This window comes from Homo sapiens, chromosome 1 (genome assembly GCF_000001405.40).
Source record: "Homo sapiens chromosome 1, GRCh38.p14 Primary Assembly".
Lineage (NCBI taxonomy): Eukaryota > Metazoa > Chordata > Mammalia > Primates > Hominidae > Homo > Homo sapiens.
The window spans coordinates 81678594-81697474 of NC_000001.11; the positions used below are offsets into that span (position 1 = coordinate 81678594).

General features: G+C 38.6%; 1 protein-coding gene across 8 annotated transcripts in view, besides 1 other annotated feature; it reads left to right on the plus strand.

Annotated features, from left to right (window-relative positions):
• ADGRL2 (adhesion G protein-coupled receptor L2) overlaps nucleotides 1–18881 on the plus strand; it is a 687801-nt gene that overhangs the window by 372462 nt on the left and 296458 nt on the right. For 4 of the 8 annotated variants that reach the window (XM_047416152.1, XM_047416118.1, XM_047416159.1 and 1 more), the window contains exon 6: nucleotides 12147–12235. The exons of the other annotated variants lie outside the window; for them this stretch is intronic. The gene's annotated coding sequence lies outside the window, so the exon portion shown is untranslated. The remainder of the gene's footprint in view (nucleotides 1–12146; nucleotides 12236–18881) is intronic. 8 annotated transcript variants of the gene reach the window in all.
• Nucleotides 3688–4256: an enhancer, noted in NCBI's record as "OCT4-NANOG-H3K4me1 hESC enhancer chr1:82147966-82148534 (GRCh37/hg19 assembly coordinates)". NCBI's record gives its function as "activates a minimal SCP1, AML or CMV promoter by ChIP-STARR-seq in primed H9 embryonic stem cells {active_cell/tissue: H9 hESC(primed)}" and the evidence as "EXISTENCE:reporter gene assay evidence [ECO:0000049][PMID:30033119]".

Genomic DNA, 18881 nt, shown 5'->3' on the forward strand with positions numbered 1-18881 from the left:
CTTCCCTTTCCATGCTAGCACAAAGGAAAGCCAGGAATGTATATAACAGCAAAGTGGCCTTTATGTATGACTTTGCCACTACCTCTCAGAGTTCGCATTAAGCATGCTCTGTATCTTGTCTCCCCTTCTATTAAACAGTACAGGCCTTTCTCTTCAGGATGCTGTGAATTTAATGAGAAGGTTCCGAGGTGGTCCCATTTTTTTCTTTTGTCGGGAAAATAAGAGAAAAAAGCCAAACATCCTGGTGTGCAAAGGTTAGAGGCAGGCCTTGGTAATTAACTGCAGTTAGTGCCTAGCATAGTGCTGACAGTGAATAAATGTTCCTTGTTGGTGATGAAATACTAAATATCAGAACCGGTGTTTCTGGTTCTGCACTGTCATAAAGCTGCTATTATTCAGCATTTATTAGGTAGCCACAGAATATGAGGCATAAACATGACAAGGAGAAAACACACAGTCCCTCCTCTAAATTACAAAAGACAGATGCACAGGAAAGTAGGTGGACCTCGAAATTGTTTCCAAATGGCTCTTTGTAGGAGGATTCAGAGAGTAGGAAAACTAACAGGGAGGCAGGCTGGGTGGACAGGATTGAGTGTAAGAAAAATGGGAGGTGTAAGAGGAGTCAGTGTTTCCATAAGGGGAATAGGGTAGGAGGTCAGGCCAATTTCCAGAATCTTAAGAGTCAACATGAGAGATCCACTGGTGGTAATGAAGAACCCAAAGGAATAAAGAGGGAAGAGTGTTTATCTTTTGCCTCTCTATATCTTCTTGGCTAATGAGGACAGGTCTTCCAGCTTCTCTGGATGGTAGTAAGAAAAAAAAAAAACAGGATTCTTTTAAAGTAAGACACTCCCATACTAAATTAATAGTTCTTCCATTTACTAGCCTCGGTTTCCCTATCTTTAAAATGGAGCAATAATACCTCAAAGTGTTGAGCTGAGAATTAAAAGCCAGGAAGCCTATACCTGGTCCACACCAGTGCTTTGCACATAGTTTTAGGAAGCAAATCCAGGAGGCCCTGGAACCTTAGCCTAGTGTCTCAACCTTTGCTATACTAGGTTTCTTGCTTTTCTTGCTTTCTCCTTTTTCTATTTATCAAAGGAGTAATATTTTCTAGAAAGAGAAGATAGAGTTTAAACAAGAAATATTTGTTAATAAATATGTAGACTGGAAGTACCTCATGCTAAAGATCTGTTTACTTCTGAATTTGGGGCCAATGGGATTTTAATTTAGTTAGTAATTTGTTTTAGCAGTCACTAAGCAGAGACCAAAAAAAATCACAGTGGGAACCTCGTAAAATGGTTCTTGGGACCCTCAAGAGCATTTCTTTCAGTCTTTTCATCAACTGAGCTGGTCTATATTGTAAGTCTTATTTATAAGGAGGCTTTCAGGCAATTTCACACTGCTTTTCTCTGATGCAGCCCCAAAAAACATGTAAACCCAAGGGATTAGTAGCGACTTAAAGGGAAAATAGTGTAAAGTTACACCATGAACCGAGGCAGCACAGCTGCCTTGATGCACTGTTCCCTTGGGCTCCTACAGTGAATGAAACTTATCTAAGTGGCCCAGTCCACTCCCACACTGCCAGATCGGCAGCCCTTTGTTACAATGTGCACAAGAATTGCTCAATCTCAGGGGGCAGCTGAGTCTGTAATGACTTGCATTGTAGAAACACAGAGGAGTTCACTATCTAGGAATGAAAACTTAAATCTCTTCTTATATTTCTTTGTTGACAGTTGCAAAGCAGGTCTGGGTAGTAAACAAACTGTTTATTCCAGCAATGTTCATTTCATAGGCGGTTCAGATACATTTATTGAGTAGGGCAGCAGCCGAAAATGGAAATGAAACCGGAATGTCGGCTTAGGGCTATGTAGAAATCTTGAAAAAGACTGAATATTCCCCAAATGCAACCATCATGAGGCTGGCATGCTTACACTGATGATCTCATCAGACCGATAATTAATAATCGTGAATTAGGCTAATGAAATCAGATGGGGTAATGAAAGGCAGCCTTCTTCTACTTGTTAGCATTGCTGTTTTCTCCATTATTTAATCTCTAACAGAAATTGACTTTGCCGCTCGAGATCCAATTCAGCCTATTTGACTTTCAGAAAAAAAATTTTTTTTAAATTGTATCAGAGCCTTAAAGAAGGGGCAAGTATGAAAATATTAAGAATCTATACAATGACACCTGCAATGTTGGGAACATAGATCAACTCAGAACAACTGCATGCATTTCCTGCTCCTTGATAAAACTAAAGAAATTACAAGTAAAGGAAGTGATGAAAAGGAATTTTTTTCAAGGCTGGGATTTTTAAAAGGCAGAGATCCTCCATCCCCCAATGGCAGCTTCTTGAATTTTTTGACACACATAGTTTACTAAATAATTAAACTATAATACATCTTCCCTCCAAGGATAAGCACTATAGTAAGACCTAGGAAAGTAATGAGGATCAAGAATGAGCCCTTTGGCCTATAGAACAGAGCTGTGAAGACTTGACCTGGAAATGAAGCAGAGAGACTGCTTGCTCTGGTAAGAATTCACCAGCTGCCTCTATATCTTAAATCTGTAAGAGAAAGGTGGATGTGAGTCTGATGTAATTTGGTTCCTATTTGAGTCTTTACCAAAGAAAGCTTGAGAACCTGCAGAAGGGATGGAGGGCAAAGGAAGCATGTGCTTCTCATTCTTCTTGCCAGTAAGCAGCATGTGGATAAGGGGAGCCTCCATGTGAACTGGAACTGTTTGGGACCCATTCCAGTGACTTCACATGTTCTCCTGTCTTCTGTTTGAAAGCCAGTGCCAAAGAAGAGACAGGAAGAATGCATGTGTGAGTAAAGGGTTAAACTCAGCAATATGTGTGGATAAAGTCCCGGTGTATTTCCTATCGGATGTATCAGATCTATTTTGAGGTTACTTATCAGTTGGTTATTGTGCTAATAATTGACATTAAAATTAATACTACAGTTTGGGAACTAGGCAAAGAGCTAACAAGTTTGCTTTTACACAGAGCTTTCCAAAAGCAATCTGTGTAACTTGTTTCTGGAATGCAGCTGTGTAAGTTTTCATTAACATCTTGCAGGTGGAGCCTAATTTTAGTTCAGCCTTGAGAAGGGGGAATTGTTTTCCTCACCATATGCATAGCACCGCAACAGCAGCAAAGCAGGTGGGGCTTTGCCAAGCACTTGTTTACTTTCTTGTTTTTTTATAAAATGGATGATTCATATCGTTAATCATGCAGTTTCTATTTGATTTTAACACGTCTTTAACAGAATAGTCTGGAGTACATTTGACCTACAGTTACTTGAATGTGAAACAAAAGCAATGAAATGGAAAATGATAAGAAAATGAGCAATGAATCCTAAATATAGTGGGGAGAAGCCAGTGAATGAAGTAAAATTTAGAAATACATCTGTTTGGCTACAAAAGCATTTTAAAAAGCAACCTTCCAGATTTTGGTTTGGCAATTTGAAGTTGGCTCAGTTAGAAAGTTCCATATATATACATATATATGTGTGTGTGTGTGTGTGTGTGTGTGTGTATTTTTCTTTTTCTTTGCCATTGCAAGAAGGAAAGTATTACAGGAAGGAAGCTGTTGCTGGAAAGAGAGGAGATGAGGGGTCAGAAAAGACAACTGAGATGCATACACATTGTTTTCTCATGCAAGTTCTTCCCTGGCCTTTGAATCTCAGGGAATGGCTGGTAATCGGCTTAAATTTTAGGACTGAGGAAAAAAATATTGTTAAGAATCAGAGAGTGATTAATGACAGTAATTTCTTTTTTCATTTGTTTAGGAACTATCTTAAGATTGACGTTAAGCTTCAAAGGCACAAACTCCATACCTCTACTATGTTTCATATGCTTCACTGCAGTGAACCTACTGTGTGTGTCTCTTTGGATGTGAGGCTAGTGTGGTCTGGCCATAACGTGGCTGCATGTCATCTGGCTTAAACAAGCGCCTTTGAATTCTTCTACCCTGTGGTGTGTGCATGAAAATTCCATTACCTCCACAGAGAGGGGGCAGCTCCATGTGCATATTTGTTTCTTTCAATTCAGTCTCTTGGAATGGATGGAATGTGTGATAACGCTATATAGGAGTCTATTGTTCTGAACCTTAAAATAAACCTTTTCTTAAAAGCCCTCTTCTGGACCTTGAAGGTCACCATTCAAGGGCTTTGCCTTTATGGAAGTTCTTAACCTGGTATACAGGTTTGTCCATGAAAGTGCTTTAGAATGTTCGTGAAAAAGGGTTGTTTTGGGCCGGGCGCAGTGGCTCACGCCTGTAATCCCAGCACTTTGGGAGGCCGAGGCGGGTGGATCACCTGAGGTCAGGTGCTCGAGACCAGCCTGGCCAAAATGGTGAAACCCCTGTCTCTACTAAAAATACAAAGATTAGCTGGGCATGGTGGCAGGCACCTGTAATCCCAGCTACTCAGGAGGCTGAGGTAGGAGAATCGTCTGAACCAGGGTGAAGGAGGTTGCACTAAGCTGAGATAGTGCCACTGCACTGCAGCCTGGGTGACAGAATGAGACTCTATCTCAAAAATAAAAAGTAAATAAAGAAAAGAAAATGGGTTTTGTTTTCTGAATAGACATGAATGTGCATATTTCTCAGAAAAGAGTCCATAGCTGTCTTTGGATTTCTAGAAGTATTTTTAAACCCCAAAATATTAAGCACCATTGCCTTATACAGAATGTTTTCAAATACTATTTTTTTTCCATAAGTTATTGGGGTACAGGTGATATTTGGTTTCATGAGTAAGTTCTTTAGTGGTGATTTGTGAGATTTTGGTGCATCCATCAACCGAGCAGTATACACTGCACCATATTTGTAGTCTTTTATCCCTTGCCTCCCTCCCACTCTTCCCCCCAAATCTCCAAAGTCCATCATCATTGTTATGCCTTTGCGTCCTCATAGCTTAGCTCCCACACATCAGTGAGAACATACGATGTTTGATTTTCCATTCCTGAGTTACTTCACTTAGGATAATAGTCTCCAATCTCATCCAGGTCACTGCAAATACTGTTAATTAATTCCTTTTATGGCTGCGTAGTATTCCATTATGTGTGTGTGTGTGTGTATGTATGTACGTATGTATATATATATATCACAGTTTCTTTATCCATTCATTGACCGATGGGCATTGGGGTTGGTTCCACGTTTTGCAATTGTGAATTGTGCTGCTATAAACACGCTTGTGCAAGTGTCTTTTTTGAATAATGAGTTCTTTTTTTTTTCTTTTGAGATGGAGTCTCGCTCTGTCACCCAGGCTGGAGTGCAGTGGCGCAATCTCGGCTCGCTGCAACCTCCGCCTCCCAAGTTCAAGCGATTCTCCTGCCTCAGCCTCCTGAGTAGCTTGGATTACAGGCGCACGCCACCATGCCCGGCTCATTTTTTTATTTTTAGTAGAGATGAGGTTTCACCATGTTGGTCAGGCTGGTCTCGAACTCCTGACCTCGTGATCCGCCTGCCTCAGCCTCCCGAAGTGCTGGGATTACAGGCGTGAGCCACTGCGCCCGGCCAAATAATGACTTCTTTTCCTCTGGGTAGATACCCAGTAGTGGGATTGCTGAATCAAATGGTAGTTCTACTTTCAGTTCTTTAAGGAATCTCCACTCTGTTTTCCACAGTGGCTGTACTAGTTTACATTCCCACCAGCAGTGTAGAAGTGTTCCCTGATCACCGTATCCACATCAACATCTACTGTTTTTTAATTTTTTTATTATGGCCATTCTTGTGGGAGTAAGGTGGTATCACATTGTGGTTTTGATTTGCATTTCCCTGATTATTAGTGATGTTGAGCGTTTTTTCTATGTTTGTTCACCGTTTGTATATCTTCTTTTGAGAATTGTCTATTCATGTCCTTAGCCTGCTTTTTGATGGGATGGTTTGTTTTTCTCTTACTGACTTGTTTGAGTTCATTGTAGATTCTGGATATTAGTCATTTGTCAGACATATAGATCGTGAAGATTTTCTCCCACTCTGTGGGTTGTCTGTTTACTCTGTCAACTGTTCCTTTTGCCATGCAAAAGCTCTTTCGTTGAATTAGGTCCCAGCTATTTAGCTTTCTTTATTGCATTTGCTTTTGAGTTCTTGGTCATTAAATCCTTGCCTAAGCTAATGTCTAGAAGGGTTTTCCCAATGTTACCTTCTAGAATTTTTATAGTTTCAGGTCTTAGGTTTAAGTCTTCAATCCATCTTGAGTTGATATTTGTATAAGGTAAGAGATGAGGATCCAGTTTCATTCTCCTACATGTGGCTAGCCAATTATAATCCCAGCACCATTTGTTGAAAAGGGTGTCCTTTCTCCCATTTTATGTTTTTGTTTGCTTTGTTGAAGATCAGTTGGCTGTAAGTATTTGGGTTTATTTCTGAGTTTCTATTTTGTTCCATTGGTCTATGTGCCTATTTTTATACCTGTACCATGCTGTTTGGGTAACTATGGCCTTATAGGATAGTTTGAAATCAGGTTGTGTGATGCCTCCTGATTTGTTCTTTTTGCTTAGTCTTGCTTTGGCTATGCGAGCTCTTTTTTGGTTCCATATGAATTTTAGAATTGTTTTTTCTAATTCTGTGAAGAATGATGGTGGTATTCTCATGGGGATTGCATTGAATTTGTAGATTGCTTTTGGCAGTATGGTCATTTTCACAATATTGATTCTACCAATCTATGAGCATAGGATGTGTTTCCATTAGTTTGTGTCATCTATGATTTCTTTCAGCGGTGTTTTATAGATTTTCTTGTAGAGGTCTTTCGACTCCTTTGTTAGGTATATTGCTAAGTATTTTTTTTTTTTACAGCTATTTTAAAAGAGGTTGAGTTCTTGATTTGATTCTCCACTTGGTTGCTGCTGGTGTATAGAAAAGCTACTGAATTGTGTGCATTAATCTTGTATCTGGAGACTTTGCTGAATTCTTTAATCAGTTCTAGGAGCTTTCTGGAGGAGTCTTTAGGGTTTTCAAGGTGAAGGACCATATTTTCAGCAAACAATGACAGTCTGACTTCCTCTTTACTGATTTGGATGCCCTTTATTTCTTTCTCTTGTCTGATTGCTCTGGCTAGGACTTCCAGTCCGATGTTGAAGAGGAGTGGTCAGAGTGGGCATCTCTGTCTTGTTCCCATTCTCAGAGGGAATGCTTTCAACTTTTCCCCATTCAGTATTATGTTGGCTGTGGGTTTGACACAGATTGCTTTTATTACATTAAGGTATGTCCCTTGTATGCCGATTTTGCTGAGAGTTTTAATCATAAAGGGATGCTGGATTTTGTTGAATGCTTTTTCTGCATCTATTGTGATGATCATGTGATTTTTTGTTTTTAATTATGTTTATGTGGCATATCACATTTATTGACTTGTATATGTTAAACCATCTGTGCATCCCTGGTGTGAAACCCACTTGATCATGGTGGATTATCTTTTTGATATGTTGTTGGATTTGGTTAGCTAGTATTTTGTTAAGGATTTTAGCAACTATGTTCATCAAGGATATTGGTCTGTAGTTTTCTTTTTTGGTTGTGTCCTTTCCTGGTTTTGGTATTAGGGTTATGCTGGCTTCATAGAATGAGTTAGGGAGGGTTCCTTCTTTCTCTATCTTGTGGAATAATGCCAAAAGGATTAATACCAATTATTCTTTGAATGTCTGGTAGAATTCTGCTGTGAATCTTTCTGATCCTGGACTTTTTGTGTTAGTAATTTTTTAATCACCATTTCAATCTTGCTGCTTGTTATTGGTCTGTTTGGGATATCTAATTCTTCTTGATTTAAGCTAGGAGGGTTGTATTTTTCCAGGAATTTACCCATCTCTTCTAGATTTTCTAGTTTATGTGTGTAAAGGTGTTCATAGTAGCCTTGAATGATCTTTTGTATTTTGGTGGTGTCAGTTGTAATATCTCCTGTTTCATTTCTCAGTGAAGTTATTTGGATTTTCTCTCTTCTTAGTTAATCTTGCTAATGGTGTATCAATTTTATTTATCTTTTCAAAGAATCAGCTTTTTGTTTCATTTAACTTTGGTATTTTTTGTTTGTTTGTTTCAGTTTCATTTAATTCTGCTCTGATCTCGGTTATTTCCTTTCTTATGCTGGCTTTGGGTTTGGTTTGTTCTTATTTCTCTAGTCCCTTGAGGTGTGACCTTAGATTGTCTGTTTGTGCTCTTTCAGACTTCTTGATATAGGCATTCAGAGCTATGAACTTTCCTCTTAGCACTGCCTTAGCTGTATCCCAGAGGTTTTGATAAGTTGTATCATAATTGTCATTCAGTTTGAATAATTTTTAAATTTCCATCTTGATCGTTTTTGACCCAAGATCATTCAGGAGCAGGTTATTTAATTTCCATGCATTTGTGTGGTTTCGAAGGTCCCTTATGGAGTTGATTTCCAGTTTTATTGCACTGTAGTCTAAAAGAATGCTTGATATAATTTCAATTTTCTTAAATTTATTGAGGCTCATTTTATGGCCTATCATATGGTCTATCTTGGAGAAAGTTCCATGTGCTGTTGAATAGAATGTGTGTGTATTCTGTTGTTGTTGGATGAAATGTTCTGTATATATCTGTTAAGTCCATTTGTTCCAAGGTATAGTTTAAATCCATTGTTTGTTGACTTTCTGTCTTGATGAACTGCTGTCTTGATGACCTGTCTAGTGCTGTACTGAAGTCCCCCACTATTATTGTGTTGCTTTCTATCTCATTTCTTACATCTGTTAGTAATTGTTTTATAAATTTGGGAGCACTAGTATTAGGTGCATATATGTTTAGGATTGTGATATTTTCCTGTTGGACAAGGCCTTTTAGCATTATATAATGTCTCTCTTTGTCTCTTTTAACTGCTGTTGCTTTAAAGTTTGTTTTGTCTGATACAAGAATAGCTACCCCTGCTCACTTTTGGTGTCCATGTGCATGAAATGCCTTTTTCTACTCCTTTACTTTAAGTTTATGTAAGTCCTTAAGTGTTAGGTGAGTCTCCTGAAGGCATCAGATGGTTGGTGATTAATTATCCATTCTGCAATTCTGGATCTTTCAAGTGGAGCATTTAGGCCATTTACATTCAATGTTAGTATTGAAATGTGAGGTATTGTTACATTCATTGTGCTCTTTGTTGCCTGTGTACTTTGTTTTTTTGTTTGTTTGTTTTTTGCTTTTGCTTTTTAGCTTATATTCTTGTTTTACAGGTCCTGGGTGACTTATGCTTTAAAGAGGAAACACAAGAAAATGTGTTTCCAGGATTCCTTTCAAGGTTTAGAGCTCCTTTTAGCAGTTCTTGCAGTGGTGGCTTGGTAATGGCGAATTCTCTCAGCATTTGTTTATCTGAAAACAACTATATTTCCTTCTTATATGATGCTTAGTTTTGCTGGATACAAAATTTTTGGCTGACATTTGTTTTGTTTGAGGAGGCTGAAGATAGGGCCCCCAATCCCTTCTAGCTTGTAGGGTTTCTGCTGAGATATCTGCTGTTAATCTGATAGGTTTTCCTTTATAGGTTACCTGATGCTTCTGTCTCACAGCTCTTAAGATTCTTTCCTTTGTCTTAACTTTGGATAACCTGATGACAATGTGCCTAGGTGAAGATCTTTTCACAATGAATTTCCCAGGTGTTCTTTATGCTTCTTATATTTGGATGACTAGGTCTCTAGCTAGGCCAGGGCAGTTTTCCTCGATTATTCCCCCAAATATGTTTTCCAAGCTTTTCGAATTCTCTTCTTCCTCAGGAAAACCAATTATTCTTAGGTTTGGTCATTTAACATAATCCCAGACTTCTTGGAGGCTTTGTTCATATTTTCTTATTCTTTTTTCTTTGTCTTTGTTGGGTTGGGTTAATTCAAAGACCTTGTCTTCGAACTCCAAATTTCTTTCTTCTACTTGTTCAATTCTATTGCTTGTACTTTCCAGAGCATTTCATATTTCTAAAAGTGTCCATAGTTTCCTGAATATTTTATTGTTTTTTCTTTAAGCTATTTATTTCCTTGAATATTCCTCTCTTCACTTATTGTGTCATTGTTTGGATTTCCTTGCATTGGGCTTTGCCTTTCTCTGGTCCCTCCCTGATTAGCTTAATTACTAACCTCCTGAATTCTTTTTCAAGTAAATCAGGGATTTCTTCTTGGTTTGGATCCATTGCTGGTGAACTAGTTTGATTTTTGGGGGGTGTTGAAGGCCTTGTTTTGTCATATTACCAGGATTAGTATTCTGGTTCCTTCTTATTTGGGGCGGCTCTATCAGAGGGAAGGTCTAAGGCTGAAGGCTGTTGTTCAGATTCTTTTTCCCATGGGGTGTTCCCTTGATGTAGTACTCTCCCTCTTTTCCTATGGATGTGGCTTGCTGTGAGCCAAACTGCAGTGACTGTTGTCTCTCTTCTGGGTCTAGCCACCCAGCAAGTCTACCCAGCTCCACGCTGGTACTGGGGATTGTCTGCACAGAGTCCTGTGATGTGAACCATCTATGGGTCTCTCAGCTGTGGAGAACAGGTGTCCACCAGTGCCTGTTCTGGTGGACGTGGTGAAGGGTGAAATCTCAAATACTATTTTAATGTAACAAAGACACAGTAGTTTATTTGGCTAATGATTATAAATAAAATGTAGCATTTGTCAGCTTTCCTCTTATAGTGAGTCTGCCTGACTTAGGAAAGTTTACACTTTAAGTTGGCCGAGATTCTTTCCCTAGGATATCGTAAATCTTTCCCTATCTCTGACCTATAGCCATGCTAAAAGAACACCCAAAAGAATGTTAGATTTTCTAAAGATTTGTTCCTTTATTCGACATAGATCTGTTAAGCACCTGTTATATTTGAGGTACTTTTGGATTTCAGAAATATATGACTCAGTCTCTCTCCTTAAGAAGGACCCAAGCCTGTGGCAGAGACATTCAGCCAAGAAAAGAACTCAACTAAATGGTCTATTTGTAAAAACAAAAAAACATTTTGTGGGGCCTCAGATTTTTCACATCATATTTCACACTCTCATTCTGAGATGTAAATGAAAAGATTTTTAAAAATGACTGTGACCCTTTGGCAAGATGACAAGAACCACACCACACCCAAACCTGTTTGTTCTGCTGTCTTCGTCCACCCACTGGCAGATGTGGCTGCAGGGGGCTGTGTGGGTGACAGAATGCAGCGATGGAACTTTAGAATTGGCTCCTGTGAGTGGAATCGGGGGAAGGGTCATCAAAAGGCAGGAAGGAGCCAGTGCGTTTGAGACTGAGGCTAAGTAAGCATTTTTGACTGATTTGCTGTTACAGATTCCCTAAAGCCTCATCAGATTGTGATTTTGCAACTCTCTTGAGCACAGTCCTAGTTTTCACAACGCCCTCTCATTTTCACTGACCAGACCCAGTCTTTGGATGAGATCTCTCTCTCCCAATCTGGAACTCAGACTCTGTTACTATTTCTTCCATTCCCCAACATCTGAGGTGCTTCTCACTCAATCCCAAATTTTCCTTTGACCCCAACTTACTTACTCACAGGAGTAGGAGGACAAAGAGAAAGGGAAATAATTTGATGAGAAGCAGGGATTGACTACTTCCAATTATTTTTCACTGTAACCCATACTATCAACAGCAGATGACATCGATTTGATCTTCCCAGTACTATTTGTTCTTAGCCATATTCAGAATGTAAAATTTAGGGCCAGGCATAGTGGCTCACACCTGTAATCCCAGCACTTCAGGAGGCCAAGGTGGGCACATCACTTGAGGTCAGGAGTTTGAGACCAACCTGGCCAACATGGCGAAACCCCATCTCTACTAAAAATACAAAAATTAGCCAGGCATGGTGGTGCATGCCTGTAGTCCCAGCTACTAGTGAGGCTGAGGCTGCTGGAGGATCACTTGAACCCCGGAGGTGGAGATTGCGGTGAGCCAAGATCTCACCACTGCACTCCAGCCTGGGTGACAGAATAAGACTCTGTCTCAAGAAAAGAAGACTGTAAAATTTAGTATCCAACTTCTATTCATCATTTAATCCGGGACTATCTTGGAGAGGATGAAATGAGGTTGAAGCCCTATTTCCAAAATGTAAAAGAGTTGTTTTGGCTATCTAAACAAAGGGCTCAGTGTTTTAATATTCCTAGTTAAAAATCACAGGATTGGCCACCTGCCTTACTTTTTTTCTGGGTTATTCATTTCTTTGTAAATTTTTCCTACTCTCTTTTCTAGGCAAACCTACACTTTTCCTGCTGAGATTCCTAAAGTTATAGAGTAAAATGTCACCAAAAGGAAGCATGTGATTCATTTCACTCTTGCTGGTAGGTACATTCAGAATACGACTTCAAGAGGTTTATTTCCCGTTTGTAATCTAAACCTTATTGGGCTGCCTGCAGTGGAAGCCTCAGCTACAGCTGCAGAAATAAAGTCTTTACAGAAGCACTTAAAGAAGACCTGGTTGTTCTGGTACTGCTTCTGAAGAAGTTCCAATCAGCAGCAGGGGAAAATTTATGAGATTCGTATGAGATTTTTGGTTTCTTAAAAGAGTACACATTCCACAGAGGATCTGAATACATTGCACGAAAATCGTACAGTCCTGTCAACCAGCACAAGCACATGTGCAGAAAACTTGAGAGGTCACTGTTTGGCAGGACCACAGTAAAATCATCTGAGACAAATGAGATAAATCCTGTTTAAAGGCTTAAAGTGAAAGAAAGAGATTCTGCAACTTCATCTGGGGAGTCCTGATAATATCTAATTGTTATCTTTAGTTCTGGGACTCATCTTTAGTAGTCATTGGTATCAGTTCTGCTTGTTTTCTTTTTTTTTTTAAGCCTATAAATTGGTTAAAGATAAAGCATTAACCAAAACCTCTGTAAGTACATGAGAATCTCTACTTTGTAGAAAAGAAATAATAATAATTTAAGAATTCAGAGTATTTTGATTGCATATACCAATATACTTGGGTAATACCAACTATTAGTTTTCTTTTTAGGACTTTTTTTTTTGAGACGGAGTTTCGCTCTTGTTGCCCAGGCTGGAGTGCAATGGCACGATCTCGGCTCACTGCAACCTCCACTTCCTGGGTTCAAGTGATTCTCCTGCCTCAGCCTCTCGAGTAGCTGGGATTACAGGCGTGTGCCACTACACTTAGCTAATTTTGTATTTTTTAATAGAGATGGGGTTTCTCCATGTTGGTCAGGCTGGTCTTGAGCTCCCAACCTCAGGTGATCCGCCCACCTCAGCCTCCCAAAGTTCTGGGATTACAGGTGTGAGCCACCATGCCCAGCCCTCTTTTTAGGACTTTTGATTATCAAGAGTTGTGTAGGCTGAGGCAAAATGGCATATATATATATATGGGTGTGTGTGTGTGTATATATATATATATGTATGTGTATATAGATATATGTGTGTATATATATATACACATACAGATATCTATATACACACACACAAAGCCATTTTCATATATAGTATATATGATATATACACATACACTTTCATATACAGTATATATGATATATATATATTCACACACATGCACAAATAAGCCATTTTCATATAGTATACAGAAAGCAATTTTTCCTCAGTATATATATGTGCATAAAATCAAATTAGGCCGGGTGTGGTGGCTCACGCCTGTAATCCTAGCACTTTGGGAGGCCAAGGCGGGCAGATCACCTGAGGTCAGGGGTTCGAGACCAGCCTGGCCAACATGGCGAAACCCCATCTCTACTAAAAATACAAAAATTAGCTGCACTCCAGCCTGGGCAACAGAGTGAGAGACTCTGTCTCAAAAAATAAATAAATAAATAAATCAAATCAAATAATGTGTTTTTAAAGTGTTTATACCCATCCTACTGCCAAGAGAAGATCCAATTACTCAAGTTGATTGAATTATGTGGGATAACAGAGATGCCAACCCATCTTGACCCCGCAGTGTTAAGCCAATTCCTTTGATATTAGGCCATTGTATGCTAAGCTCTTTTTTGAATTACTGTTAGAATAAAGTAAAAAGAAAGACCAGGAAGAGCAAGCAAGACACAAGTAGGCTTGTGCAAAAAATGAGAATTGGTGACATTAATAACAATAAAAATTATACATAAATTGCTATAGCACATCGTAATTCTCTAAGTGTTTATCTAAAGATGATTTGATCTTTTTAATAATCTTTTGAGGAAGATTGAACAAGTCATTTTATAGAATAGAAAGTTAAATCAGGTGTTGTAGAGCAGTAATAGGCATTTTTTGCCAGTATAATATTTAATAAAACATTCAATTAGATGTCAATAGTTTAAAATTTGGAGATTTCACATAAAAACTCAGATATCTGACTTATCTAGAAAGTTGAAAGTTCTGGTACCACTGGATGACACTGGGCCAATATTCCCCTGACAACACAGTAGCACTTCCTATTGTCTTATACCCACACTCCTCATTCATTAATCTTTACTAGCTTGGTCATTTTAGGCATTTGATTTTTGAACCCCTGGTGTAAAAGGATTTTCATACTGCCATGCCCTGAGTTCATGACAGAGGTAGGCCTAGAGTGCAGGTCTGTGGCTTGTATTCTTTTACCATAAAATGTTTACATTGAACTGATGTATGGCTAACACATCCTTCTTTCCTCTCCTCCAAGAGCCTTCTGCTCCCCTGAACTTCTCACAATTGCCCAAGAGCTCACGCATTCCCATGTCCCCATACGCTTGATGCTGTTCCTTGTGCTTTTCATCCAGTCTACCTGCCACTCTCCCGTCTCCCGACTAAACCTGAGTCCTAGTGCTCCACTTAAAGTTCCCCTGCTCTCTGCAGCTGTCTCAGAGCCAATCTGCAACCTCCCTCCTCTCCCTCAACCATCATTTATTCAGACTCATCATTTGTTCAATAAATGTCAAATAAGAGAATGAAGAAGGGATACAATAGTTTTAGGCTAATGCATTCGTCTGCACTGGATTGACTTTTTTCCCAAGGTCTATGTTGGGTGACACATTATGACTTCCCTGTCTGTTTAAACTATGGGTCAGATTACTTCATAATAAAGATTTTGGAGAGAATGGCATCGAGCCACATTTATCCCAGGGAATGTGGACAAAGTTTGGGCAACTTCTTTTTTGAGGTAGTTCAGCATGACACTGTGGATTCAGCATTTTAAACTCATTTATTTGTCAAAAATGTTCCTTGCTTGGAACATGAGTTTCTTTACCACTTTGGTTTGGTAAACAGGGAAAACATTAATTCAAAGTCCAGAGAAGACAATACTCTGTTTTACCCCAGCAGGAGACAAATCAGTGGCTGGCAGGGGAAATTATATATAGAAAAATGACACAGAAAAGATATGGACTGGCCCGAGTTATTGATTCATCCCACAAACATTTTTTGATATTTACTGTGTTCCAGACACTGAGCTAGGCCCTGGAGGTAAGCAGATATGTAAATACATAGGTGCAATGGATATTATGGGCATCTGTACATTATATGAGGGATACAGAGGAGACAGCAATTAATTCTGCCCAATGAAATCAACAAAAGATACCTAAGTAATTTGACCAGTTAGCTGAGTCCTAAGGGACATAAGCATATTTTGTACTCACTTTGAAGATGACATTAAACACTTTAGCATTAAAAATAAATTTGGAAAATGGATCTCTCCTTCCTAAGGGTATAGATCATATGAAAAACACTTGAGAATATATTATGTGCATTTAAAAAAAGCACCTAGAAGATGCAAAATAAAGGAGTAGGAATATACAGTCTCCAGATTCTACCTGAATTCAATCTTGGTTCAATTATTTGCTAGCAGTGTGATCTTGGAAAAGTTACTTAACTTCTTTGTGCCTCAGTTTTCTTCTCTGTTAAAATAGATAATGAAACTACCGATGTGGTTAGTTATAGATGAGATAATATATATAAAATGTTTAGCACACTATCTGGTACATAGTAATAAAAAAATTAGTGATTAGCATTACTATAACATAATCTAGTATAAGCCCGTACACTGTTTTTCTTTGAAACAGCCAGCATCAAAATAAGATCATATAATTCAAAGCACTTATTAATAAAAACTTAATTAAAACAAAAGAAGAAATCTCAAACCTAATATGCCTTGCATCATTTATGTGTCAGCTTTGCATTTTATTCTCACTCATCTTAGATAATGAAATGAGACCAGGTCCCATAATTGCCCTTCTGTAACTAACTGTTCAGTTTCTTGAATTTTTCAGTGAGGTTCGTCTTCCCATTGTAATGAATTACTGTAATGCTACTGTGCTGTGGCTTCCAGTACTGCATATTACCAGTGAGAACCATTCTCAGCAATAAATTAACTTTCAAACCTTGATGAACATTGTGAATCCTACATTTTCTTAAATTGTGAATCTTAAATAAGCACACACATACATATGTACATATATGCATCCCTTTTAGTAGTATGTGTTATACTCTCCATTTGAATTGATTATTTTTATTGATACATATATTTATTTGACTAAGAACATTTTAGGAATATTGAAAATAATATCAACATTCTTCTGGAAAAGTCTCAAAAATCTTTTATTTCCTATTAATTCTTTGGTTATTCCTATAAAATTCAGATGAAACTGATTATTCAGTCTCTTCTAGATAGGGTAAAATAAACTTTCTGAAAATCTCTCACAAGTGGGGACTCGACAGTCTCTTGATAACATACCGTCCTTTAATTCTGTGCTTACCTACCAAAAATAATCTTAGGCTTTTCTATGTAATAAAAAGATATACAAATATATTAAAAATTATTTTTAATAAATCATAAATATATTCATTTTAATAAATAATAATACTTTATCATTTTCTAATACCCACTTACACTGGAATAGTAAAAATTACCAAGTAGACACTATTTTCTTTTCTAAAGATACTTTTCATTTTACTAAATTGGGATCATTGACTATATTTCCATCTGGAAGGAAAGGACCTTGCCTTATATTGCTATTTCTGTGTCACCCCTTGGATTAGCACACGGCTGAGGCAGCTATGTTTTGAGAATTGAGTATGAGGCTGGGTATGGTGGCTCATGCCTATAATCCCAGCACTTTGGGAGACCAAGGTGGGTGGATCACTTGAGGTCAGGTGTTAAGAGACCAGCCTGGCCAATATGGTGAAACCCCATCTCTACTAAAAGTGCAAAAATTAGCTGGATGTGATGGTGTGTGCCAGTAATCCCAGCTACTCGGGAGGCTGAGGCAGGAGAATCGCTTGAAGCTGGGAGGCGGAGGTTGCAGTGAGCCGAGAGATTATGCCACTACACTCCAGCCTGGGCAACAGAGTGAGACTCTGTTTCAAAAAAAAAAAAAAAGAATTAAGTGTGAGCTCCTTGAAATTCCTCCCTGGCTGTATTCCTCTGTTGTGTTCTGGGCTTTCTGCCAGGTTCTTGGGCAGTATCTCACTTCCATTCTTCCCATTTCCAAGTCTTCTTTTGCAGACTGACAAATTGTTTGTAATTTATTATAGAGAAATGTAGCTCTCTCGCCATCCAGTGCTGCTTACCAGACCACACCCAGAAGGACCTAGACTTTCTCAACTTGAGTGTCTCCTCTAGATTTATCTAGTTGTTTTCCTCAACAAAAGAACTATTCATAAGTGATATATGTGTTGCTCCTCCCAAGAAGGCAAAAATAGTCATCTTTTTTCATTTTTACAAAACAGCATAGCAGAATTTTTTTTCCCTCTCGGCTATGTAGATTTTTTTTTCAACAAATATGTTTAGAGTGTGTTGTCCGTGTAAAGCTTTTTACAGAACAAGTCATTCTTTCCTTCTAGTAACTCCCATCGCAAGAAGTGAACCCCAAGAAGGTGAAGCAGATAGCTACATAAATAAATTCTAGTGTTTTTCAGGAAAGAAAGAACTTCGGATGTGCTTGTGGAAACTCTGACAATTATGTTTGAGATATCATGGAGAATGGGGCAGAGGCAAGAATAGAGAGGAGTTGGCCAGGCGCGGTGGCTCACGCCTGTAATCCCAGCACTTTGGGAGGCTGAGGCGGGCGGATCACAAGGTCAGGAGATAGAGATCATCCTGGCTAACACGGTGAAACCCCGTCGCTACTAAAAATACAAAAAATTAGCCGGGTGTGGTGGCGGGCGCCTGTAGTCCCAGCTACTCGGGAGGCTGAGGCAGGAGAATGGCGTGAACCCGGGAGGCGGAGCTTGCAGTGAGCCAAGATCACACCACTGCACTCCAGCCTGGGCGACAGAGCGAGACTCCATCTCAAAAACAAAAACAAAAAACAAAACAAAAAATAGAGAGGAGTTGATGTTAACTCGATTTTACCAGAAAGGAAAGATTCTGAGAACTGCAGAACTTCAGAACAAACCAATGAGTTTGATATCAGTCTCTAGCAAACTGTAGACAATCATTAAAATAAAAGTGAGCCTGTTGAAAAATGGCACTGACTACTAAGAATCAGCATGGGGTCGCTAAGAAGAAAGCAGCCACAAGCAAACTAATTTATGTTTTCTCTTCAAAAGAGAATATAACTGGATTTTTGCAAGTATTTTAATCAAAATACTCATATGTTCCTAGAAGATAAGTTAGAGATACTTTAGAATATGGTTAGGAAGTTTCCAAAATGGCAGAATTATCTCTTTAAAAGTGATTAAGAATGAACTTTGGAGTCAGACAGCCTTAGGGGTTCAAATTGAAGCCCTGGACCTTATCAACCATGAAAATTTTTGAAAGTTGCATAAGCTTCCTGAACCATAATTCCCTAAACTGTAATAAGGATTAAAATTATCTATGTCATAAGGACACTGTGTTTCTTGTGACATAATTTACATAAAGTGCTCTTTACTCCTTATTAAATAAGTGCTCAATAAAAATGATAGGAGTTGTTTTATTCTCATTATCTAGGGTTGATTGATTGTTGCCAATCTGAAGAGAGGTCTCTGAGACATGCACTAGCACTTTTTTTGCCAGTGATTTGAAGGAAAGCA